The sequence below is a fragment of the Homo sapiens genome, chromosome 21, assembly GCF_000001405.40.
Source record: "Homo sapiens chromosome 21, GRCh38.p14 Primary Assembly".
NCBI classification, from domain to species: Eukaryota; Metazoa; Chordata; class Mammalia; order Primates; family Hominidae; genus Homo; species Homo sapiens.
In genome coordinates this window covers 42,030,502-42,056,874 of record NC_000021.9, presented here as the reverse complement: position 1 = coordinate 42,056,874, position 26,373 = coordinate 42,030,502, and the positions used below count along the sequence as shown (strand labels likewise).

At 49.7% G+C, this 26,373-nt stretch overlaps 1 long non-coding RNA gene across 1 annotated transcript, besides 4 other annotated features; it reads right to left on the bottom strand.

Annotated features, from left to right (window-relative positions):
* Positions 1–1,745: 1,745 nt before the first annotated feature.
* Positions 1,746–16,216, bottom strand: LOC107985502 (uncharacterized). The gene is made up of 2 exons (XR_001755063.3): positions 14,893–16,216; positions 1,746–2,976 (listed from the first exon to the last, which is right to left on the bottom strand). It is a non-coding gene; the product is annotated as an uncharacterized LOC107985502 (long non-coding RNA).
* Positions 12,488–12,987: an enhancer, noted in NCBI's record as "H3K4me1 hESC enhancer chr21:43463997-43464496 (GRCh37/hg19 assembly coordinates)". NCBI's record gives its function as "activates a minimal SCP1, AML or CMV promoter by ChIP-STARR-seq in primed H9 embryonic stem cells {active_cell/tissue: H9 hESC(primed)}" and the evidence as "EXISTENCE:reporter gene assay evidence [ECO:0000049][PMID:30033119]".
* Positions 15,370–15,873: an enhancer, noted in NCBI's record as "H3K4me1 hESC enhancer chr21:43461111-43461614 (GRCh37/hg19 assembly coordinates)". NCBI's record gives its function as "activates a minimal SCP1, AML or CMV promoter by ChIP-STARR-seq in primed H9 embryonic stem cells {active_cell/tissue: H9 hESC(primed)}" and the evidence as "EXISTENCE:reporter gene assay evidence [ECO:0000049][PMID:30033119]".
* Positions 16,380–16,883: an enhancer, noted in NCBI's record as "H3K4me1 hESC enhancer chr21:43460101-43460604 (GRCh37/hg19 assembly coordinates)". NCBI's record gives its function as "activates a minimal SCP1, AML or CMV promoter by ChIP-STARR-seq in naive H9 embryonic stem cells {active_cell/tissue: H9 hESC(naive)}" and the evidence as "EXISTENCE:reporter gene assay evidence [ECO:0000049][PMID:30033119]".
* Positions 24,944–24,993: an enhancer, noted in NCBI's record as "active region_18498". NCBI's record gives its function as "activates an Ori minimal core promoter by ATAC-STARR-seq in GM12878 lymphoblastoid cells {active_cell/tissue: GM12878}" and the evidence as "EXISTENCE:reporter gene assay evidence [ECO:0000049][PMID:35858748]".

The following is a 26,373-nucleotide window of genomic DNA, read 5'->3' as shown; positions in this document are numbered from 1 at the left end:
AATGGTGTCTCCTCAAAATTCATGTCCACCCAGAATCTTAGGATGGGACCTTATTTGGAAAGGGCTGTTGCAGATGTAAGGTCAGAGATGAGATCATCCTGCCCTAGCATTGCCCCGAATCCAGGGACAGCGTCCTTCTAAGTGACAGAAAAGGACTCCGAGGAGGCAGAGGTTGGAGAGATGTGGCTGTGAGCCAAGGCGCACCACGGTTTGCCGGTAACACCTGCAGCTGGAAGATGTAAGGAGGGTGTCTCCTCAAGAGCTTCCAGAGGAGAAGCACTCTCACTAAGAATGAGATCTGTTTGCTCACGAATGCTGACGCCTCTGAGATCTGTTTGCTCACGAACACTGATGCCTCTGAGATCTGTTTGCTCACGAACGCTGACAACTCTGGATGCTAGACTGGGTACAGATATTTAATGGGATTTGCCCTCAAGATCGCCCAAACTCTTTTGAGAAAATCGGATGAGGACATTGTCGGGCTGGCTTGTGGTGAGGACAGAGGTTGGAGATAAGGTGTTCTGAAACCGTGACTTGACTTGTAAGTTGAAGTAGGCCCTTCTTGTTTGGCCTATCCTTCCCGTGGTCTATTAGACGAAATGGAGGGACAGCACTTAATCAATCAATTCCAGGAGGGAGGCAGATGACCCGGGGGAGGGAATAGGACCAGAGATACCCGGCAAAGTTCTGCTTGGCCATCATAGCTTTACAGGTGTCAACCAGCCATGTGACCTGCATGACCTCCATGTCTACCTGTGAAGTCTGGGCTACAGGCGCACCCTCCAGGGACTTCCAGAACCCAAACCCAGTGATGTAAGAGGCAAAATAATTTCAAGTCTCCTTTCATCTATTTTTATAAAGTAGAAATAAAATGGCCTTTTGGTCAACCAATCTGTCCTCTTGGAAATACCCTTTCTTGGAAGAAAGAAACACAGGGAGGGAAACACCGAGAGTGATGGTGTCTCCTGGAGGTCGGGCTGTCTTCCTGCACTTCCGTTCTGTTCTTCACATTCGGCACCCCACACCCCCCACCACCTTTAATCCTGGTCCAACTCTGGGTCTGGGTCCTGCAGACGGTTCCCAGCCCCTGCGTCTTGGAGTTCCGGCAGAGAATTTCTGTGACTTTGCCCTCCTACTGTATCCCCATCTATTGCTGAGAACCCCCCAAAATGAGACCTTCTGACTGCCTGCAGCCCAAAACCCCAGTGAATCAGGAGAGGGAGCAGGCGGCATGCCTCCCACCGCCGCATCTCACCTGCTCAGCCCTGCATTCCTCATGTATGGAAAGTCCTGGGGAATGAGGTCCTGCGCGACTTCCTGCTCCAGCACATTTCAAGGTTGTGCTTGTGGTATAATGGACACCCTCTGCCCAGAAGCAAGCAGGGAGAGACCCCAGATGGGCTGTGAAGTAGGCACTAAGGTTTCACTCCACTGTTTCTTGGAGGGCGTCCTCCTTCCTCCTCCTCCCTGCTATTCCGTGGGGTCTGGTTGCCAGGCTCACAATGCCCACCCACCCCACCATTCTTCCCACCCAGGGAGCCAGAACCACCCACGTGTGCATGTCGAGCTGGGTCGGGGGCACAGCAAGGCTTGCTCCACCATCTGCAGCCTGTCATACCTCCTGTCCACCCAAAGGCCACTCCTAATCCTCCCTCCACTCTGGTTAACACCAGCTAAAATGCAGGTCCTCCTCGCCCTGGATTCGGCTACACCACTGATGAACAACACACAGGCAGAGGAAAGTGTTTGGAGGTCTTTCACAGGGAAGCAATTCATGTTTATTTGGTAGAGCCAAAAATTCAACAAGGGAGTAAAGAAGTTCCTCCAAGGTGGGTTTTGCTCAGGACAGGCAGACATTTCTTGTGGCTAGAAGTGAGTGGCAACAGGTCCTCCGGCAGTGATGAGCTACCTGGCCTCAGGAGCATTCAAGTAGACCGAAGGCCATGGGAGGTTCCAGAAGCTGGAGCAACAGGCCAGGCTTGGATCATTGTGAAGGCCTTGCTGGGGCAGCAGGTGTACACTCTGCTACATGAGAGAAGTCCCTGAGGGGAGAAGTGAGTTTGTCCAAGGAGTAGGAGAGAAGCTTCAGGGACAGAGGACAGCAACAGTATACTCTGAACTTGGATCGCTTGAGAACATTCAAAGGCCAAAGCCATCCTCTTACTGCCACCTCTGCTTTCAGGAAGAAGGGGCTGTGTGGGCCCAGAACCGGGTCTGAGAGAGAGGCTGGGCCTGTTTGACATCACACACCTCCACTCCTGCTGGAGAAGGGAGCCAAGGTGGGCTGAGACATTCCCAGACTCAGTGCCCACAGCTCCATCCATCTGGAAGACTTTGGGTCAAATCCATAAAGAACGTGAGAGGGGCCGGGGAGCCAGCCCAGGATGACTGAAAGTGCAGTGAGTTCTCTGTCTGAGCCTCCAAGGGTCTTCTGCCTGGGCGTTCTCTGCACCACAGGCAGGAGTGGCCATCTCTTGGAGGTTTTCTAAGGGCTGAGCGAGAGACAGAAGCAAGGAGTTTCCATACAAGCCTCCAACACCTGAGGAAGAATTGGAATAACTGCCGGTGGAGCTGCAGGGTCCCAGGGGAGAAGCCCAGGCTCTGAGTCCACAGGGACTGAGACCTTTGCTTATCAACTCGGCAACCTCAGGCAACGATGCTTCCTGGGCCTCAGTTTACTTGTCTGTGGGGAATTGACACACTAGGTAAAGTGGGGCTGTTAGGAGGCACTGAGCATGTTAGTTCTTGTTCCTACATCCCCAGGGCAAGACTTCCTCCCAAGGGAGGTGATCCAATGACAAACTCATTCGTACCAAGTTGCGAACAGCTGACCCCTGATCCCTCCTTGAAAACGATGGAAGAGGGCTAGACGCAGTAGCTCACACCTGTAATCCCAGCACTTTGGGTGGCCAAGGCAGGTGGATTGCTTGAACTCAGGAGTATGAGACCAGCCTGGGGAACATGATGAAACCTCATCTGTAGAAAAAAATACAAAAAAAAAAAAAAAATTAATTAGTTGAGTGCGGTGGCGTGCACCTGAAGTCCCAGCTACTTGAGAAGCTGAGGTGGACGGATCACCTGAGCCCAGGAGGTTGAGGCTGCAGTGAGCTATGATGGCACCACTGCACTCCAGCCTGGGTGACAGAGTGAGACTCTCTCTCCAACAAAACAAAACAATGGAAGAGATGAGAAACCAGGTTACCAAATTCCTGGTGCCTAAGAGCACAGAAGTGCCAAGAGGGGGCAGCCAGCAGTAGTAAAGATAAATTTTAGATTTTCCACACAATTTTTGGAGAACTGACTCTGGGTTTACTGATTTGGATTTGGATAAATTCTAACAGGCTTCAGATGGATGGAAACACAGCGGAAGATGATGTTGAATTTTTTGGAAGGTTATACATGCTGCACTCGGGAATCGCTAACATTTTAAAAAGACTTTAGTGGTGCTGCTGTGGAGCAACTGGAACGCACAAGCATTGCTGGTGGATGTAAAGTGGTGCAACCATCTGGAAAAGGGCCTGGAAGTCTCTTATAAAACCGAAAATACACCTACCCCAGACCCAACCATTTCAATCCGATATTTACTCAAGATAAAGGAAAATTTATGTCCACAAAAATATTTGTTCACACCAGTTTTATGAATCATAGCCAAAACCCAGAAACAGCCCATTAAGAGGAGAATGTAAAAACAAATTATATCTTCTTAAAATGGAATACTACTCACTAACAAAAAGAAATGAATCCTCAGCACGTCACAAATGACATGAATATAGCACAAAACACACTGAACGGAAGGAGCCAGACAGAACTGACTACATACGACATGACTTCATTTCTATAAAGTTCTAGAACAGGCAAAACAAATCTGTGGTGAAGAAAAAATAAGAGCAGTGCTTGCTTCTGAAGATTGAAGGGGGTATTGCTTGGAAAGGGCATTAGAGAAACTTCTAGGGTTCTGGGGATGTTCTAAGCCTTGAAAGAAGTTTATGCACTTGTTGGAACTCAATGAATGTACACTTAGCATTTGCACATAACACTGTATCTAAATCTTACCTCAAAAAAGGACTGTAAACAAATATGAAGCTCTAATTAATGATACGCCAGGTGAAATATTTAGGGAAACAAATGGAGGTCCGCAAGTTACTTTGAAATGCATTAAACACAAGATGCCAAGGGTTGATGGATGAGAGATAAACGGGTGGGTAGATGTGTGATAAAGTACCGCAAATATTAACTGTAGAACCTAGAGTGTCTACTTTACAATTGTTTCCACTTTTCTGTGTGTTTGAAAATTTTCATAATACAATGATGGAATACTATGCAGCCATAAAAAGAAATGAATTAACAGCATTTGCAGTGACCTGGATGAGATTGGAGACTATTATTCTATGTAATGTAACTCAGGAATGGAAAACCGAAGATCATATGTTCTCACTGATACGTGGGAGCTAAGCTATGAGGACGCAAAGGCATAAGAATGATACAATGGCCTTTGGGGACTTAGGGGGAAGAGTTGGAGGGGGGCGAGGGATAAAATACTACAAATATGGTGCAGTATATACTGCATGGGTGATGGATGCTCCGAAGTCTTACAAAGCACCACTAAAGAACTTACTCTTGTAACCAAATACCACCTGCCCCCCAGTAACTTATGGAAAAAAATTTTAAGTTGGGGTTTTTATCATAAAAGCCAGCCTGAAAGTGTATCTTAATTTTGCATGTGTCTTCAGCCTGCTGGAGAAGCTCTCCCGCTGGAAGCAGAGCCTGGAAGTCAGGTCAGGATGCTGCGGTCTAAGTCCCACCGCTGGCTCCGGATATAAGAGTAGGGCCAAGGGCGATCACATCATCTCCTCTCACTCCCCTTATCTGCACCACACAGGCCCTCAGAGAGATAAAGGCGTCCCACAAAAGGGCTTTGATGTTGAGGGTGACCAACATCGCATCGGGACAAAGAATGATTATTTGGTTACAGAAAGACAGGCTGATCAAGTCAAAATCTAGCAACTTGCAGCTTTCATTTAGCTGGTAAGTTTTCATTCCTTTGGGGTTAGAGCAAATTTTGTAATTAAATTTGTGATCAAAGAGCGTGGCCAGAAATCTGCTTTTTAATCCAAGAGCAGCATCTGAAACCAGAGTCAAGACTGGAGAACCAGGGGCTGCCTTCTCGGTCAGACAGACTCGGAGGAGGCCAGTATCCAGATGGTGTCGCCTCATACACTGCAAACCTGAAAACAGGCCACCGTGCCCACCTGCTCCCTGGAGGTCAGCCACATGCGGAGATCCACCCAGCAGATAGGTTTTTGGATTTTGCTGATCGATGGGAAGGATCCATCGATGTGGATTCCAAGCCTTTCAATAAAAGCGACTTTGATGTTGTTGGTTCTAGTTTTGCACTTTCTTTACTAAAGAAAATGAAAATAATCCTTCCCTCAGTATCATCAAGATCATGAAGGCAAATACAGCATGAATTTGAGAAAAGATCCTAAACCGGAAAAAACGTGGTTGCAAAGGGCATTCTATTTGAATAAGGATGATGGGTTCAAGGGTAGGATATAACAATGTCAGTGATATAAGAGAATGACTATTCCTAGCAATACACACCAAAGCACTTGGGAAAAGAAACCTGATGTCCACAACCTCTTTAAATAGTTCTTGCCCTAAAATCTATGTGTGTGTACATATATACAAACATACATATACATACATATATTTACATACACATATGTATCCGCACATATAAACACACATATACATACACATATATTTACACACACATATGTATATGCACATATATACACACACACATATATTTACATACACACATACACACATACATACACACATATATTTGCATACACATCTATGTATATGCACATATATACACACATATATATGAAAAGATATGTACATGGACAGAGATGATACTATATACATGTAAGAAAAGATATATACATAGAGATTATACTAGAGAGAGGATATTAAGCAAATGAGACAAAATGCTCACAATTAATGAATTGGTTGAAGTGTACAAACGTTTCTTTGTACTATTCTTGCAACTTTTTTCTAAGGCTAAAATTGTATATCACAATGGCTAATGTGTGAATCATGATAGAAACACACTGCCTAATCTCAGTGGAGGTGGCCTGGGGACCCCTGGCGTGTGGCTGGAAGAATAAAGGCAGGAGTGAGGTGCCCTGGGACGCATCCATATCTGTGAGTGAAGGCTTCTTGCAGCCGAAGCAGCTGCCCAGAGCTCCTGGGGAGTACACGGGTTTCAAGAGCACTCGCAAAGCCAAAAGCAGTCAGCAGGCCTTCATCAGCTGCTCCTTGCTGGGTTCCGGAGAAAATGCTCCCTTCTTGGAGACATCGGTGACCCACAGAATGCACAGGTATGCTGCAGGCCACACACCTGGGGACAGAGGGTCTAAGGACTGGGCACATCATGCTGCAAATTCTTTCCTCCAGGGCCCCTCTCAGAGCTCTCAGTCTGGTCGTGCTCTGTAGCCTGTGCAGGCTCCTCTGCGATGAGAAATACCCAGTGTCCAGTGGATGAAATGCTCAGGGTGAGGCAGTGCCCTGGACCACATGAACAGCAACTCACACGGCGTGTGTGGAGTAGAACACACGGGCGGGGCCGGCTGCCTGGTTCTGAGCCTCACAGTCTGACCCCCCAAAGCTATGGTGGTTTCCCCTGGACCACACAGCTGAATGCCCTCAGGGCTTGCACCACGCCCCCAGTTTCTCTCTTCTAAGACCCAGACTCTGAGCTGGGCATATTCTGAGTTCCTCCTCCCCACGATAGGTCCACAGCTACTCAGCTCAGAAGCAGGACCACAGAGCAAGGGAAACCAGGCCCAAGGTCCCCTCTAAGCAAGCACTGCTCACCTGCCCACGGGTCTGACCCAGCATTACACACAGCATCAGGCCCTTGTCTCATATTTGTACCTGACTTCCACTCCATTCATTCAAAACATGTTGTCTGCACGTCCTGGGCTCTGCAGTAGGGGGTGACAGTTCACTGAAGGCTCCTTGGTCCCCAGGAGGCAGGGTCAACTCTGCCTGGGTCTCCAGGGCTCAGCCTGAACTTCAGCCTGAATCTGCCACCACCCCGCCCTGGACATGCCAACAGGTGAGCACCCTACTTCTGCCCCCTCCCCGCCAGGTCTCTTTGCAGAGGCCCAGGCCCCGTTCAGCTTCCCCACTGGTCCCTGGTGTCCATCTCCATGCCCAGAGCTCCTCATTCTCTTCCTGACTCTCGTTTCTCTGCACGGCTCTCTTGTCTCCTACCCACACCTTCATAGATGATGAGTAAGTGGGTCTTTCCTTAGGTTCCCGCAAACATGGACTTATCGCACATCCACATTGATGTCAGAAAGGTCACAGCTATATGCTGACCATAATAATGATGGGGACGTGGACCCCGGCACCCAGAGTGGGCACCGCACCATGCTAAGGAGAAGCAATGAGCAAGCCAGCCCTGGATGTCTCCTGGAGTCGAGAGAGGCTTGGGGCCCGGCTGTTCAAAGTGTGGCCCCAGACCAGCAACATCAGTGTCACCTGGGAGCTTGCGAGACTCCTATGCCCTGTCCCAGACTTACTGAATCCGAATCTGCAGCTCTACAAGATCTACAGGTGGTTCTTGGGCCTATTCATATTTGAGGAAAACTTGGTGTAGGATATGCCTTTTATGAGGGGGGGAAAAAAAGAAGCCCTTTTTTTGTTTTTGTTTTTGTTTTTTTTTTTGAGACAGAGTCTTGCTCTGTCACCCAGGCTGGAGTGCAGTTGTGCAATCATAGCTCACTGCAGCCTCAACCTCCTGGTTGGGCTTAACCAGGTGGGAGGATCCAGTGATCTTCCCATCTCAGCTTCTCAAGGAACTGGGCTACAGATGTAGGCCACCACACCTGGCTAATTTATTTTTATTTTTGTAGAGATGGGGTTTCTGCCTTGTTTCCTAGGCTGGTCTCGAACTCCTGGGCTCCAGCAATCCTCCTGCCTCAGTCTCCCAAAATGCTAGGATTAGAGAGCCACTGCACCCAGCCAGGAGACAAACATTTTAATCAAGGTTTTTAAGCCCAGGAAGCAGTAAAGGAAGGTCGGACACAGATTTCCGATACAGATTCCTACTACCGTCCACTCCATCTGTCACTGACCCGTGACAAGCGGCTAATATGCCTGGCGTAGAAGAGGTCGGTTAGACGCCCCCGGCAAGTGGTCCGAGCAACCTGCTCATTGTTACTGGGGAAGAAAGAAACATTCAAATGTTTTCCTGAAGCCCCAGGGGAAGCAGACCAGCCCCTATCTACCTGTGCGTTGGCGTAGCCCCTGTTCCCCGAACCTCCGCCCCTTAACAGCCCAGCACCTTGTAGGCTAAAAAGCATCGTGCGGGAGCTGGGCATGTGCATCAGCCAGCCTGGTGGCGGGGCTGCCGGGAAGGCATCCACTACACGGTCATAAACCTGCCCTTGGCAGCAGCCAGTCAGTGACCTCACACGTGGTCTTTGCTTTGGCCTTGTGGTAATGACCTAAATAAAGCTGGAGTGAAGCATTTCCTCCCGAGAGTCTACAAGACAGGCACATTACTCAGAAAATAAAGTGCAGTGGTAATGACTTCAGAATCTTAAAATAAATCCCATTCAGCCAAAATAAATTTCCCCAAGGCCTAATATTCTAGCTTGGTGTTGGGCATTACTTACCCTCTAAATTCTCAGATGCGCAATGGGTATTTTTCCTATAGGTAAGAAATGGTGAGACTCTCTCCCTCGAAGCCGAAAGCCCCCTGCCGCACAGTCACCCCGGATTCAGCCCAATGATGTCATTCAATTACCCGACAGACATGGAAACCGATGGCTCCCCAACTGTTTGGACTAGAGATGCTTAAGCCCAATTGTGGCTTCCCGGAATTCTTCCTCCCCCAGCACAGTCTCTGGGAAACCAAATATTTTTTTCACACTGAGACAGGTTTTGAATAAATACTGCCACTAAAATTCCATGGTACTTCAAATAAACATGGGATAGTCAGTTACCAATGTCTAAATCCTGCCTTATTGTTTTAAAAACAATTTTTTTTTGAGACAGAGTCTTGCTCTGTGCAATGGCACGATCTTGGCTGCAACCTCTACCTCCTGGGTTCAAGCGATTCTCCTGCCTCAGCCTCCCAAGTAGCTGGGACTACAGGTGTGTGCCACCACACCCAGCTAATTTTTGTATTTTTAGTACAGACAGGGTTTCACTATGTTGGCCAGACTGGTCTCGAACTCCTAACCTTGTGACCCGCCCGCCTCAGCCTCCCAAAATGCTGGGATTACAGGCCTGAGCCACTGTACCCGGCCAAAACAAATTTTAAAGACTATGATTCTCCCACCCTCTCCTTGGCTTGAATCTGTTGAAATGTCCCATGTTTGGCCTTTGCATTTAGAGACACAGAGAAAGGACAAGAGTCGTGGATGCTGCTCCTTGCCCTGCAACAATGCTGCCACTGGGGATGCAGGTGTTTCTTCCTGAGCAAGCCATCTTGTCTTGGGCAGAGGAAGCCAAGTGGGCACTGAGCGAGGTTTTGAATAACTACCTTGGCTGGCTGCACTTCACTTTAGGGGAATGATCAGCAGAAAACTCATAAAGTGCTGCTCTCAAACTTGCTGGGCAGCCGGCCTCCGTGTGATTTAAGCAGAGGTGGACGTGGAGATTGCAGTTGTGTAAAAGTTAAAGGACTCCCATAGTGACCTAAAGTCACCTGCCAGATCACCTGCCAGGTCCAGATCCTTTAAGAAACAAGGACTATGGTTTGGATATTTGTCCCCTCCAAACTCATGCTGAAATTTGGTCTCCTAGGCCGGGTGTGGTGGCTCATGCCTGTAATCCCAGCACTTTGGGGGGCCAACGTGAGTGGATTGCTTGAGCCCAGGAGTTCAAGACCAGACTGGGCTACATAGCAAGACCTCCCTCTACAAAAAAGTATAGAAATTAACCAGACATGGTGGAGGGCACCTGTAGTTCCAGCTACTAAGGAGGCTGAGGTGGGAGGATCACCTGAGCCTGGGAGGTTGAGGCTGCAGTGAAAAAAGAAATTTGAGAAAAAAAAAATGTGGTCTCCGTGTTGGAGGTGGAGCCTAATGGAAAGCATTTGGATAAGGAGGGGAGATTCCTCATAAATGGACTAACGCCCCTCCCTAAGGCTGAGTGGGTTCTCACTCTATTAGTTCCCAAGAAAGCTGGTTGCTGAAAAGGACCTGGCACTTCCCCTCCTTCCCGCTGGGTCCCTCTCGCCCTGTGGTCTCTGCACACCCAGCTCCCCTTTGCCCTCCCCCATAAGTGGAAGCAGCCTGAGGCCCTCCCCAGATGCAGACGCCCAACCATGGACTTTTGCAGCCATCTGGAATCATGAGCCAAATAAACTATACATGTATACATACACATACGTACATACATATATGTATATATAAATTACCCAGCCTCAGCACTCTTTATAGGGGCACAATGAACAAACTAAGCCAGGCGGGGATGGGAAGTAATAACAAACTATGATTAAGTTCAACATGGAAAGCAAGCGCCTCTAATTCTAGTTGATATTATGTAGCTAGCTCACGTAGCAGCTTCCCCACTCCCTTGGGGAAAGGGATTTCTGATGGCCAAGGACACCAGTGGTTGTGGTGTCATTCAGTCATGAAGCTGTTAGAGGTAACTGTCCCCATCTGCTTCCAAATGAGCTTGTGCGGCCCTGGTCCTCCATGTCGCTCTTGAGCAGCCAGCAACCCCCCCCACCTCCCCTCGCCCATGCACACCCTCTTGGGGGTTGTCTGGGGAGGGTAATATGGGTCATATGAGCTTAAGTCAGATAGAGTTAGACATACAGAACCACTGGGACGGAGTGGAGGGGTGACATTCAAACACACATCATTACTGTACCTCCAATACACCCTCTACCACTAATTCCAATACTCAAGAAGAGCTGACTGTATTTGAATTCCATTTTCAACTCAAAGCCAATTTTGAATTCTCCGTCCTTCCAACTTTTCAGACTCAAGGTGCCTCAGCTGCATTCTGTGCCCTGACAGACACCAGGACACGCAGCCAACTACAAGGGACCATTGGAATGTAGCTGTTCTAAGTAGGACAGGAAGGGAAGGGGACTATCCCAAGATGGGCTTCCAGTGATCTGGGAAGGGAAGGGCAGTAAAAACATGAGATTTGGTGGGGTGGGGTGGCTCATACCTGTAATCCCAGCACTTCGGGAGGCTGAGACGGGTGGATCACCTGAAGTCAGGAATTCCAGACCAGACTGGCCAACATAGTGAAACCCCATCTCTACTAAAAAAAAAAAAAAAGCAAAAAAAAAAAAAAAAAACAGAACAAAAAACAAAAAATTGAGCTACGGCACTCCTGTCCGGGTGACAGAACAAGAATCTGTCTCAAAAAACAAACAAACATGGGAATCATGGCTCTTGAAAGTCTGAAGGTGGGAAAATTTGTACTAATGCCCCATCCACCCCCACCCACACAGCCTCAGGAGACGAGAGGCAGGAAGAGTGGAAGGCGCTGGCATGTGCCCGGCCTAGCTGTTCAGGGTCCTGGAGGAGGGCATGGTCAGGACTGAGGATCTGCTTCTACAGGGTCCATCCTTCACTCCATCCCCAGCCACCTCCCTGGGCTCATCCTAGCCAGCCCCCAGGGAGACCTCCACACCCCCCAAGCCCTAAAACAGGTCTGCCTGAGAGGCTCAGGGACAATGGGGAGGAGGGAGTCTGTGTGACCCAGCCTTCACCTCCTCTGGTGGCCACTGGCTGACAGAGGCCCAGACAAGACTAAACAGAACCAGAGGAGCAGGTCGGGTAGGGCTGAGGTGCGGGAGATGGCCCATGAGGACAAGTGAAAGCCGGTGACTGGGCCAGAGGAGGGTTGGGCTTAGTGTTCATGTCAAGTCCAGGATGTGGCTCACACCTGTCATCCCTGCACTTTGGGAAGCCAAGGCAGGTGGATCACTTGAGGTCAGGAGTTCAAGACCAGCCTGGCCAACATGGTGAAAAGCCATCTCTACTAAAAATACAAAAAATTAGCCAGGCGTGATGGCGGGCACACGTAATCCCAGCTACTCAGGAGGCTGAGGCACGAGAATCACTAGAACTCAGGAGGCTGAGGTTGCAGTGAACCAAGATCATGCCACTGTACTCCAGCCTAGGCGACAGAGCGAGACTCTGCTTCAAAAATAAAGTAAAATAAAATAAAATAGCCCAGGATCTGTGACCAAGAAGATCCTCTTAAAGTTAGAAAGAGAAAAATAAGAAAATCATACACATTTAATTATCAACTTTTGAAATCAATTTCTCTCTTCTCCCTTCAACCAAACCCATGCTGTGGCTGCCCAGCTGAAGATATAAACAGCTACGTCGAGTCCATCTGATGATGGAAGTTGGGGGTCCAACTTCTGCAGGATTTACCTCCAATGCTGGAGACCACCAGCTCCCAAAGAAACCCATTCTGGGGGCTCAAAGCCACAATGAACAGGAGGCAGGCATGGGGCTGCAGGGAGGTGCCCCGAGGCTGGAATGAGGAGCCCAGAAGACACCGAGCTGAGGCAGGCTGGGTGGTGAGGAGCGTGGAATGGGATACGTGAGGTGGGCTGGAAGCCTCAGGCCAAAACTGTGAGACATGCGGGATATCTTCGAGCTTCTAAAGGGACACCAGCGAAGGCCCACGGTTTCACGTGGCTCTCGGTCGGTCGTCTGACAAGTGATGCCCTTGGCTCTTGGGGACTGGACGGGAACTCACAGATGGAGCTGCTGCAGCCAGGCCCACGGGGCCACCTTCCTGTGCACCCACAACTGTCCAGAGAAAGAGCCATTGTCACCAAACCCAGCCAGAGCCCAGCCACGAGGCTCGGAAGGTCCCCTGGGCCCCGGCACTATCCTTTACTGGCTGGTAGGGCCGCACTTAGCTTCTCTGAGCCCCAGCTTCCTCCTGGGTGAAATGAGGCTTTATAAAGAAAACCTCACTCACAAGCTATCATCAGGATCAAACAAAACCATGGATGTGAAGCACTTTGTAAAACGGAGCGTGCTTTTAGTTGCCATTGTCACTGTTAATGTCATTGGAAACACTATTCATGGTATTAAAGTAGATCCCGTGCTGACCACCCACTGCTGGGAGGTTAGAATTCCCTGTGCCTCGCCCCTCGGCGTTGGTGGGCGTCCTGCGGCTCGCACATTCCCCTCCCCACCCTTCAGGCAGACACCACCAATCCTTGTGCCTCACAATCATCAGCGTGTGATTATCACAGCCCTCCTGTTCTGACTTCTTAAACCAAGCAAGTTCCAAGCACTGAGACGAGGGATCTGTGGGAGGATCAAGGGATGGGACAACCTTTCCATAACAAAAGGGTAAAAAGATGCTCCAAAATATTGTGCTTTTTTAAATCTGTGGTCCTCAGAGTCCTGCTGCCTCCCCCAAGCAGCACACCTGGGCCCCGTAGCGGGATGGGCCGCTGTCACATCCTCAGGCAGCACAGATGAGCATCAAGGGGCCAGCAGAGACTGACCTACCGTCCACCAGAGCAGGCCCGACAAGTATGGACCAGTTAGTCACTGTTACAGGTGAAATATAATTAATTAAGTCATATTGGACAACTTGGCTTGATTCTGCTTTTGGTGGTAATTACATCACAGACCTGGAGTCTTAGAAGGAAGAGTGACTGTGAACAGAGCCTCCGCTTGTCCTTGGCCCTTGGTGGGGCCACAGCAAAGCATCTGCCTTCTTGATTCACCCCTGCTATCAATTTAAAAACCTGCAGCTGCCACAGGCTCAAGAGCGCAGGGTGCTTTAGACACCTGCTTTCTGACATCTGCAGTATTTCTGTTTATTTCAGATCTCACCCTGCAGGAGAGACTAGCGGGATGGAATGGAGGGAAGAGGTGTGTGTAGCGGGGTGGATGTGGGAATCGGAATTGACCTCAGATGCAGGCACAGCTGAAGGTGCCTCCACGGTGTAAGTTAAAACATGTTAGGAAGGTCACCCCGCCCCCAAATCCATGCCTGCGGGATTGCTCCCCTCCTCCTCCTCATACCTAACCTGGGTGGGACGGCAGTGTGCAGCCACGTGTTGTTTTTACACGGCAAATTAATTGAGACACAAGCTTTTAAATGTCAGAAAAATCTAGCTCCAAATAAGTAAATTAGAACCTTTATGACTCAATAAAATGTTTCACCAAGCATTATTCCTAAGATATTTTCTCATTAAAAAAAATTATGCAGCCGGTGGAGTGGCTCACACCTGTAATCCCAGCACTTTGGGAAGCCAGGGCAGGTGGATCACTTGAGCTCAGGAGTTTGAGACCAGCCTGGGAAACATGGCAAAATCTCGTCTGTACAAAAAAATTAGCCAGGTGTGGTGGCATGTGCCGGTAGTCCCAGCTACTTGGGAGGCTGAGATGGGAGGATTGCTTGGGCCCGGGAGGTCGAGGTTGCAGTGAGCTGATACTGTGCCACTGCACTCCAGCGTGGGTGACAGAGTAAGACCCTGTCTCAAAATAATAATAATAATAATAATAATAATGCACCATTACCAACTTTTCCATTAAACTGACAGAGCCAATCATAGTACATACAAAGAACTTTCATGAGTGTCTTTGCTTCACGTCCCTCTCTTGAAAACCCTATGACAAAGATTTGGGGGCAAGCAGTTGATTTTGGGGGTGATCTCAGGAAGCACAGTGAAGGCAGGAGTGCAGGTACCCTAGAGAGAGGATCCCTGCCAGAGGGAACTTCGGTTCATCCCACTGGGACTGCATTGAGGTCTGAGCAGAACATGCCCCAGAACTGCCCCATGGAGGGAGGAGGGAGCTGGGACATTTATCCAACAACTCTCATCCTCCACACTGGGGGTCACTCCTGGGACCTTACCTTCCTGTCCTTTGTCCTTCAGCCTGCCCTGGGAACAGGGCCAGAGAGAGAACGTCTTCAGGAAAGACAGGCAGGGGGCAGCCCCGGGGGGTGTGGCAGACATCCTGGCCTCCAGCAGGATGAATGACAGTTGGTTTCATCCCCTGCACACAGCAAAGCTTCCATCTGAGTGTGGCTCTGAAGAATGTGGGTGCCACAGAACAGTCGATCAGGGCCACGGAACAGTTACATCAGAGCTGCAGAAGAGTCACATCAGAGCCACAGAACAGTCTCATAGAGCTGGAGAACAGTCTCATAGAGCTGCAGAAGAGTCTCATAGAGCTGCAGAACAGTCTCATAGAGCTGCAGAAGAGTGGCATCAGGGCCGCAGAATAGTCATATCGGGGCCACAGAGCAGTCGCATCAGAGCCGCAGAACAGTCACATCAGGGCCACAGAAGAGTTGCATTGGAGCTGCAGAAGAGTCACTTCAGAGCCACAGAACAGACACATAAGAGCCACAGAAGAGTCACATCAGAGCCACAGAGCAGTCACATCAGAGCCACAGAACAGTCGTATCAGGGCCACAGAACAGTCACATGGGGTTCTCTGAGGCGCCCCTCCTTCTTTCTGCTGCACTCCCTGCTTCCCCACCATCACTCACCCCAGGAGAAGCGGGAATAGGAGCTCACAGCCCCTTGACCCCACAACTCACTTCTCTGTGCCTGCCTCTCTCCTTCAAGGGACCCCAAGGTCTCCCAGTTGTTCATGCTGGAGACTAGAGGCCCCTGGGGCCTGCCCTGTGCCTCTTCCAGCACTTTCAATCAGCCTCTGGCCCTGGGGCACCCAGGACCTTCTGATCATTCTCCGTTCTTTCTCCATTCAGCCTCCCTGCTCTCCTGGCCATCGCTCTTGCCCAAGCTGCTACCTTCCTTCCCTCCAGAGAGAAGGCAGTGACCACTCGCTGGCGTCCACTCCCCATTTCAGTCCACACTGCTTCATGCCCCAGCCTGGGCCTGGCATTGTGGTGCTCCAGGAGCAGTTCCCAGACAGATAAGTGAACGAGCAGTCGGACGTCCTTTCAAACGTATCTGGAATGTGGCGTCCTGCCCTGTGGTAAGCAAAAGCACATACACATCTGCACACACACAGACACAGTCCATTCCCTGCCACTCAGGTGTCTACTCTCAGCCTAAACATCACACTCATGGATGGCCTCACTGGCCCTGAAACCATATGGGCCCTGCCGCGCTGCCCTGAACCTTCTCATCATACCCCTCATCACAATGGAATTAGATGTTTGCATAGTTCTGTATTTGGTAGTCTCCATGACACTGTAAACTCCTAGTGGGCCGGAATAACCACAGAATCCCTAGCCCCTGCTACCAAGCAAGGACTCAACCACGCATCCAGTGATGACGCAAGAATGAGTCAAAAGGAATTTGAAGAGGTGGCTGCAGCTGGTCCTCTGAGCATGGAGGGCTCCCTCCGGCATCATTAGGGTCGGGGTTTCAAAGGAGTGGAGAGCTCAAAGCTACCATCGTGGAAAACAGGGACTTGGAAGCAAAAGGGACAGAAGCCCGCTGGGCATGGCAGAAGGGGCTCAAGGTCACCAGACACAGGGAGCTTGGCCCCTGCTCTGTCACTCACGACCAAGGAGGGGGTCTTTGTCAAGACATCAACTCAGAACATAGATGGCAAAGCACGTGAGGCAGAGAGCCTCAGTGAAGAAGCACCGCCTCCTCTTCCAGCTGCTGAACAGACTCCAAGCAACTGAGCCCCTCAGAGGGAGGGGCCTCTCAGCGCCAGAGCCCCAGGGAACAGTGCGGCAGGCTGAAACCCAGCAATGAGGCCCCAGGGCTGCTGGGGAAGTTTCAAGGGCTCGGCCAACCTCCAGGGCCTGGAGTTGTGAAGGCTCCTGTGAGACATCCAGAGACAACTTGCAGAGATAAGCAGGGCCGCCTGACAAGGGGGGCCACGGCATTCGCCCTCCTCCCCAGCAGACTCCGAAATGGCGGCAAAAAGAAAACGTGGGCATCCAGCGTCTCAGGATGGGGAGGGGCAGGTCATGTGGGCAGGTCTCCTCACCTGCTCATGACAGGTGAGGAGAGGCTGGAGCTCCATCAGAACTAGTGGCCAGGACACCCCCAGCAGCCGCCCTGCAGCCAGCCCAGGGCACCTGGCCCAAGCTCCAACCTGGCCAGGGTTGGGCAAGATGACCCCCCCACACACACAAGAATTGGGAAACTCCCTGGATAAGTTTCAACCAGAGAGTCAGAGAAGAACCGTGGAAAACAGACCTGGGTCTGTTGATACTGTGGGAAGGACAGTGTCCTCCAGAACTAGTGACTTTCGGGATCTTACAGCTTCCTTTCTTGTGAAACCTTGCCTGTTTCCCTGCCTTTGCCAAGGGTAAAACCCATGTGTCAGTTTCCCGTCACTGCTGTAACAAAGCACACAAGCTCAAGGGCTTGCAGGACATATGCTTATTACCTGCTACAGACTGAGTGTGTCCCACCCAAATTCACGTGTTGAAATCTTAACCCCCAAGGTGCTGGTATTAGGAGATGGAGCCTTTGGGAGGTGATTAGTTCATAGGGATGAGGCTCTCATGAACGGCATTAATGCCCTTATAAAAGGGACCCTAGAAAGAGACTTTTCACCCCCTCCACCATGTGGGGACACAGTGAGAAGATGCCAGCTATAAACCAGGAAGTGGCCCTCGCCAGACATTAAATCTGCCAGCGCCTTGATCTCAGACTTCCCAGCCTCCAGAACTGTGAGAAATGAACATCTGTTGTTTATAAACTGCCCAGTCTATGGTGTTTTGTTACAGCAGCCCAGGCAGAATAACATGTTACCCTGCAGTTCCCGATGTCAGAAGTCTAAAATCAAGGTGTCAGCAGCGCCGTGTTCCTTTTGGAGTTTCAGGGGAGGATCCATTTCCTGCTTTTTTGGCTCCTAGACGCTGCCTGCATCCCTTGGCTCGTGGCCCCTCCTCCATCTTCAAGGCCAGAGGGCAGCCAGCCTCTTCAAACTTCTCTCCAGCTCTGATCTCCACTTCCTTCAATGACCCTCCTGCCCTCCTTCTTTCCCTGCTTGGACCCTTGTGATGACATTTGGGGCCCACCTGGATATCCAGGAAAATCTCTCCAGCTCAAGATCCTTCACTTAGTCACCTCTCCCAAGTGCCTTTGCCTTCTGGGGTCACATATCTGGGGATGAGGATGCAGACATCTTGGGGGGCCTTTATTCAGTCTACCACAGAATGAACAGTCATTTGTGTGCTTGTTCTCAAGACGTCAGAGTGTAGAAGGCCGTGAGGGGCTTGAATGCAGCTCCGGGATTGTGGGGCTGAGGGCAGGGGCCGGGGACCCAAGGAAGGGAGAGCCACAGGCCAATGGGAAGGAAAAGAACAGCAAGCTAGGAGCTGGGTGGAATTGAGAACGACCCCATCATTCAGCCGGCAGGCAGCCAGGGTTCACCAGCTTGGATATAGGCAGGATTCAGGCAATACACTCTGGAAGGCCATCTCTACCGGCAGGGTCACCGTCATCTTCCTAACGCCATGGCGAAAGGAATGACTTCTCATTTATCCTAAGTGCATCTGACAGGCTTTCGGGCCTGTTTCCATTCTCTAAGACCCAGAGTACATGGCTCCAAATAGAAAGAACAAGATTCATGCAAAGAATGAAAGTGATGGATGGAGTTTAACATCGGCTTAGGAAGACGAAGCTGGCTGTCAAGCCATGTTCCTAACCAAGCTCGATGCTGAAAGGTGGAGTCTGTTTATATTCCTGCCACGCATTTGTTCAGTTGCACAATGGTCACTGCCAGCACAGCTCAGACCTTTGATCAGCTCCCGGGGACTCGGGCCTCTTTTTCTCCCCTTCTGCTGGGAAGAGCCGTCGCAACGGGGCATTTGTGGCAGACTCTTCCTGAGATTAAGTGACAACTGGTGGGAGGGGCCGTGGCAGCATGTCTTCCGGGGAACAGGAGAGCTCCCAGTTGGGCCCTGGGGACTGTGACCCTCCCTGCTACCTCCAGACCCGTCCTCCCAACCCTGCCACTTTTGTTTGTTCCTTGATTCTTTCTGTTGTAATGGCTTTATTGCGATATACCGCACATGCTATTCAATTCACCCATTTAAAGTGTACAATTCACTTTTTAGCATGGAGTTGTGTGACCATCCCCGCCGTCCATTTTATAACATTTTCATCACCCCCAAAAAGAAGCCCCTTTAGCTGTCACTTCCTCAATCCTCCTAATCTCCTTTTCACCCTGCGCCCTAAGCAACCACTTATCTGCTTTCTGTTTCCACGAATTTGCATATTCTGGACGTGTCATGTAAATTGAGCCATACAATTTTGGGTCTTCTGTATCTGTTTCTTTTACTTAGCCCAATATTTTCTTTTCTTTTTTAATTTAATTTTTTTTATTTTACTTAAAGTTCCGGGTTACGAGTGCAGAACATGCAGGTTTGTTACATAGGTATACATGTGACATGGTGGTTTGCTGCACCTATCAACCTGTCATCTAGGTTTTAAGCCCCACATGCATTAGGTATTTGTCCTAATGCTCTCCCTCCCCTTCCCCCCACCTTACAACAGGCCCCAGTGTGTGATGTTCCCCTCCTGTGCCCACGTGTTCTCATTGTTCAACTCCCATTTATGAGTGAGAATATGCGGTGTCTGGTTTTCTGTTCCTGTGCTGATTTGCTGAGAAAGATGGCTTCCACCTTCATCCATGTCCCTGCAAAGGACATGAACTCATTCTTTTTTATGGCTATATAGTATTCCGTGGTGTATATGTGCCACATTTTCTTTATCCAGTCTATCATTAATGGGCATTTGGGTTGGTTCCAAGTCTTTGCTATTGTAAATAGTGCTGCCATAAACATATGTGTGCATGTGTCTTTATAGTAGAATGATTTATAATCCTTTGAGTATATACCCAGTAATGGAATTGCTGGGTCAAATGATATTTCTGGTTCTAGATCCTTGAGAAATCTCCACACTGTTTTCCACAATGGTTGAACTAATTTACATTCCCACCAACAGTGTAAAAGTGTTCCTATTTCTCCACAGCCTCGCCAGCACCTGTTGTTTCCTAACTTTTTAATAATCACCATTCTAACTGGCATGAGATGGTATCTCATTGTGGTTTCAATTTGCATCTCTCTAATGACCAGTGATGATGAGTTGTTTTTCATATGTTTGTTTGCTACATAAATGTCTTCTTTTGAGAGGTGTCTGTTCATATCCTTTGCCCACTTTTTGATGGGGTTGTTTGTTTTTTTCTTGTAAGTTTGCTTAAGTTCCTTCTAGATTATGGATATTTGACTTTTGTCAGATGGGTAGCTTGCAAAAATTTTCTTCCATTCTGTAGGTTGTCTGTTTACTCTGATGATAGTTTCTTTTGCCGTTAGCACAATTTTTCCAAGGTTCACCCATGCTGTAGCATGTACCTGTACTCCATTCCTTTTCATGGCTGAATACTATTTCACTCTATGGACGTCCTGCATTTTGCCTACCCATGCATCTGTTATTGGACTTTTGGATTGTTTCTACCTCTTCACTACTGTGTTGCAGGCCTGGTTTCTTGACTTCTGATTCATCAAAAAAGAATTGTGTTTGTTTGCAGTGGAGACAGTGCCTTTGTCTGACCTGACACCAGCTGAAAGGTGCTGACATGAGTGCCTTCTCTGCCTTCCTAGAAAGGAGCTGCAGGGGCACCACAGTTCCTGATGAGGCACCCCAGCACTCTCAACTCTTGGAGCCTGTGGCTAGCGCCTTGCTTCACATACTATCTAAGGACGTGCACAAGAGTGGGGGAAGCTGCACCCAGGTCCTGCCCCCGATCGTGCTGGGCATCAGTTCAAATCCTGGAGGAGGGTGTCTAGCAGCCCCGGTGGGGTTGAAGGCAGCCACCCTGGGCCTCCACAGCCCCGTGACTATGTGATATGGTTTGGCTCTGTGTCCCCACCCAAATCTCATCTTGTAGCTCCCATAATTCCCACATGTTGTGGAAGCAACCCAGTGGGAGATGATTGAATCATGGGGGCAGGTCTTTCCTGTGCTGTTCTCCTGATAGTGAATGAGTCTCACAAGATCTGATGGTTTTATTTTATTGTATTGAGACAGAGTCTCACTCTGTTGCCCAGGTTGGAGTGAAGTGGCACTATCTCAGCTCACTCCAACCTCCACCTCCCAGGTCCAAGTGATTCTTGTGCCTCAGCCTCCCCAGTAGTTGGGATTACAGATGTGTGCCAACATGCCCAGATAATTTTTGGTATTTTTTAGTAGAGATGGGGTTTCACCATGTTGGCCAGGCTGGTCTCGAACTCTTGAGAAAAATTCTCGCTCTGTCAACCAGGCTGGAGTGCACTGGTGCCATCTCAGCTCACTGCAACCTCTGCCTCCCAGGTTCAAGTGATTCTCATGCCTCAGCCTCCTGAGTAGCTGGAATTATAAATGTGTGCCACCACACCCAGCTAACTTTTGCACTTTTAATAGAGACAGGGTTTCACCATGTTGCCCAGGCTGGTCTTGAACTCCTGAGCTCAGGCAATCTGCCCACCTTGGCCTCCCAAAGTGCTAGGATTACAGGTGTGAGCCACCGCCCCCAGCCCTGACGGTTTTAAAAATGGGAGTTTCTCTGCACAAGCTCTCGCTTTGCTGCCACCAACCACGTAAGATATGACTTGCTCCTCCTTGCCTTCTGCCATGATTATGAAGCCTCCTCAGCCACGTGGAACTGTCAGTCTAGTGAAACCCCTTTCTTTTGTAAATTGCTCAGCCTCAGGTATGTCTTTATCAGCAATGTGAAAATGAACTAATACACTGTGTTTCACTTAAACCAAGATGGTAAGGTCCTTCTGTCACCGTACCATGGAATCTGGCAATTCATGAATGCTAGTGTCTACACATCCAACAATCAGTTTTCGTAACCCCTCATCAAAACATCATGTTTTCCCATTGCTGGGCACAATATCCACACCCAAACACGGTCATTATAAAATTCTTGGACCAAAACCTTTCCCCAAAGGGTGATGTAAAATTCTCACTTGTGCTTTCTTCACTTAGACCAAATCCCACGGAGATCAATTGATTACTTCTTCTGCTCTCTCACTGGGAAATGAGCGGGAATTCCACCAAGCAACTGTGCAACATCAGGCCCAAGGGAATGAAGGAAACAACGACCAGCGGAAGGGGAGAAGCAACTCGCTATGTGTAAATTACAGACTATGATGCATGCACGTGCATACGCGTCACACATACATGCACACACCAGCACACGCTGCATTGACTTGTCTGCCTGGGCCGTCAAAGGCCCCCTGGGGTTAGGAGGACAAGAGGGAACCATGGGCAGGGTACTCAGTGAACTGACCCAGCCAAGCAAGAGGGGATTTCAGTGTCCACAGACCAAACCACTCAGAAAACCATGGTCAGATTAGCCCAAGGTTTAGAACCAGAGGAAGAAAAGTTCTGCTGATTAGAGAACACCCTGGGAGGAAATAGCGACAAAACAGAGGGTTATTATTATAATTAACCCACAACTTCACCTGGACAGAGCATAGAGTGGGGGAAGGACCTAAAGAAAGCAGAAAGGCCAGGTTGAGGAAATGTGAAATGTCAGTGGAAGGGGAAAAAAGCAGAGAAGGGGCCGGGCATGGTGCCTCACACCTGTAATCCCAGCACTTTGGGAGGCCGAGGTGGGCGGTCACAAGGTCAGGAGATCGAGACCATCCTGGCTAACACAGTGAAACCCCGTCCGTACTAAAAATACAAAAAAATTAGCCAGGTGTGGGGGTGGGCACCTGTAGTCCCAGCTACTCAGGAGGCTGAGGCAGAAGAATGGCGTGAACCCAGGAGGTGGAGCTTGCAGTGAGCTGAGATCACGCCACTGCACTCCAGCCTGGGCAACAGAGCCAGACTCCATCTCAAAAAAAAAAAAAAAAAAAAAAAAAGCAGAGAAGGAAAAAACCACAGGCACCTGCTGGTCTCTAATATAAGCAAACCACAGTACATGGGGAAAGGCAGCGACCTTCCCTGACAGGCTAACAGCTCCCAAAGGAACTGGACAGAGAAAATAGTGAAAATCTCTTTTTTTATTTTATTTATTTATTTTTTGAGACAGAGTCTCGATCTGTCACCCAGTGTGGAGTGCAGTGGCGCGATCTTGGCTCGCTGCAACCTCCACCTCCGGGGTTCAAGCGACTCTCCTGCCTCAGCCTCCTGAGTAACTGCCATTACAGGCACCTGCCGCCATGCCCAGCTAATTTTTGTATTTTTAGTAAAGACGGGGTTTTGTCATGTTGGTCAGGTTGGTCTCAAACTCCTGACCTCAGGTGATCCACCTGCCTCAGCCTCCCAAAGTGCTGGGATTACAGGCGCAAGGCACCGCACCCGGCCAAAAATCTCTTGAAGAAGAAGGAGAAAACATACTTTAGGAGCTAGGGAAGTCTGTCAGAAGATCAGCAGATAAAGGAGGAGGCCAGCCTAGGGAGCGTCCAGATCTGAGTGTGCATATTGTTCAAGTGGAAGAGACTCAGGGCAGTGTGGGTCCAGTACTGTGCAAGGTCCCCAGTGCTCTTGCCTCCACCTTTACAGTGAGCCTGCAAGGGGCTGCTGTCATCCCTGGGTACACAGGAGGGCCCTATAGCTCAGAGCAAGGATGTGCCCAAGGCTGCTAATCAGTGAAGACCCATGCTTGCCCAGGTCTCTAACTGCAGCCTGAGCCACAGCAACCTGAGTTTCAGAGGCTGAAGCTCACTTGCCCTTGGCAAGGCTGGGCCCCTCAAAAGGTCAGGCTTCCTGAGCTGACAGCAGGGCCTTGCTCCAGCACCCACCTGCCCCTGGCTGTGCCCTGTGTCCACATCTGGCAACAACCCTCAGCCCCGGCAAACACTGGGATGGTGGGGAGCACCCACACCCTCCCCAGGAGAACGGACCAGAGTGGCCTGGGGTGCGGCCTGGCACTGGGCTTTTGGAAAGCTCCCAGGGGAACCCTGATCTAAAGCCAAGATGAGACAGACCTTGGGCCAGAGGGGGCCTTCTGCAGGGCAGAGGGGTTTCTGGGTCTTCATCCTTGTTCAAGAGAATGCTCAGTGGACCAATGATAACCTGGGCATATAATTTTAAAAATTTTTAAAACTCTGCAACCTGGCCGGGCACGGTGACTCACACCTGTAATCCCAGCACTTCGGGAGGCCAAGGTGGGCAGATGACCTGAGGTTAGGAGTTCGAGACTAGCCTGGCCAACATGGTGAAACCCCGTTTCTACTAAAAATACAAAAATTAGCCAGGCGTGGTGGCACATGCCTATAATCCCAGCTACTTGGGAGGCTGAGGCAGGAGAATCACTTGAACCTGGGAGGTGGAGGTTGCAGTGAGCCGAGATTGCACCACTGCACTCTAGCCTGGGTGACAAGAGGGAAAATTCTGTCTCAAAAAAAAACAAAAAAAAAACAAACTCTGTAACCAGTGACATCTCATGGTTCATGGAACTCTATGTTTCAACATGAGCTTTCAAAGGCCAAGTCTGGAGCAGTGTAGGTAAAAACACAGCAGCAGAGAAGAGGCTGCAATGAGGTGGGCTTGTACCTGCTTCCCTCAAAGGCAGGCTCCTCTGTCTGAGCCCCTCTGAGGACAGCGTGGCACCTCCAACATGGGCCAGAACTCCAGAGAGTTGTGGGGTCCAGCTTGTCATGGGCTGCATATGAAGGGAAATTCCAGGATGGCTGGAGATGGAGTCAGCCTTCCCCTGCAGTGTTGAGCCTCAGCCAGTGCAGGGACCCCAAAAGGCCAGACTGAGACCAAGGACTGCCTCCTGGGACCACCTCTTAAACTCCTGCCCTTGGGGCATGGACCAGAGCAGCCTCTGGAAGTGACTGGATTGGCCCCGCCTCTAGGTCCTCACAACATCTGTAAGGAAAGAAGGAGAGCCCAGTTGCGCCTGGTCAGGTTGCTATTTTGAAATAGGCCACCTGGTTCAACCACAAACACCTTCAATCAGCCAACAATGCTATTTCCAGAGTGCTCGCTGCCTCCTTGCTGGGCTCTGCCCTTGTTTGTGCCCACGGATCCCATTTGTAACTGGGCCAGGTTCCCCATTGTTTCCTGCAGTTTGTCTCTGCACTGTGGCTGCCAGGCACCACACAGCTGCTTCTCCAGGGTGTCTTCAGGGTCTCTTCCATGAACCCAATCCCCAACCCCGGGCTTGTACCTGCCTGGGGGATGGGCAGTCCATGCTGAGGGCCTGGATCCTGGACCCCCGGGTCTGGGCTCACCCAGGTCTCACCCTTCCTTCACCCTACTTATTTTTCCAATCTGCAAAGCTCCAAAGTCGCTCCTTTTACAGAGAAAACACATGGAAATGCTAACATGGATTAAGATCAAGCTAAAGCCAAGAAAAGAAAACACAAGTGAAAAGAAAGGAAAAAGCTACGCATTGTCTTTGCCAGCTGCAGCCCTCTTACCTGTTTCTAATGGTATGTGGCTGTCTGGGCTTTCAAAGCATTTTCTCCGAGTGGCAAGTGCGGTGCTGCAGAGTTGCTGATAGAGGCGTGCGTTCGGGCTTCCTCTTCCATCACGGACCAAGAGAAAGCAGAGTCGTCAATCTGGGAACAAGAAGGACACACCATGTATCTGAGTGCACCAGATTCATGTAACCCAGAGGTTCTCACATCCCTTCAGGGCCAGAAAAGAGGGAGGCGTTTCTAGTCACCAAATGTACACTCAGGTACTTTTTTTAACCTCTTTGGACTAAGATGCCTTCATTCATCTTGAACCACAGAAAATGTTAGGATTATGCTCAGCTGGATGTAGCAAAGCTCTTACTGTGGTGGCTTAAACACAGAAAGGTTTCATTCTCATACATAAAACGAGTGTGAAAGCAGGTGTTTCAGGGAAAATATGGAAGCCACCAGACTCCCAGGCTGCTCCTGGTTTTGTGTTCTACCACATGTGGCTTCCCTTCTCAGAGGCAACTCAAGGAACAATATGGCTGCTGGAGCACCAGCTATGACATACATATTCCAGGCAACAGAGGGAAAGAAGCAGAGGGATCCAAGAGAAATATCCCCTCCCCTTGACGAAGACTTCCCAGAATCCCCACAGCACATTTCCGTGGACATATTTTTGGCAGAACATCATATGAGGGCCAAAAGGAACAAGAGGCTGGGAAAAGTGGTCTTTTAGCTGGGCACATTAAACACTCCAGATAAAGCAGAGTTCTGTTGCTAAGAAGGAAGGGAAGGTGGAGGGTGGATGTGGGGGTGGCAACCAGTGATCTCTGCCACAGAGATTTATCCTGTTCAAAAGAAAGTCCTTATAGGCCATCATTATCAAAGTTATCTTCCTCTATTTACAAAGTTAACATGTGAAGAGAGGCAGAGTTGTAGTTGGTGATGATGGCATTGTTTCCTAGGTCTATGAGGGTGTTGCTAAAAACAACAGCAGTTTCTGCACCCACGGCCCCATGTGTGGACCAATCAGTAGTG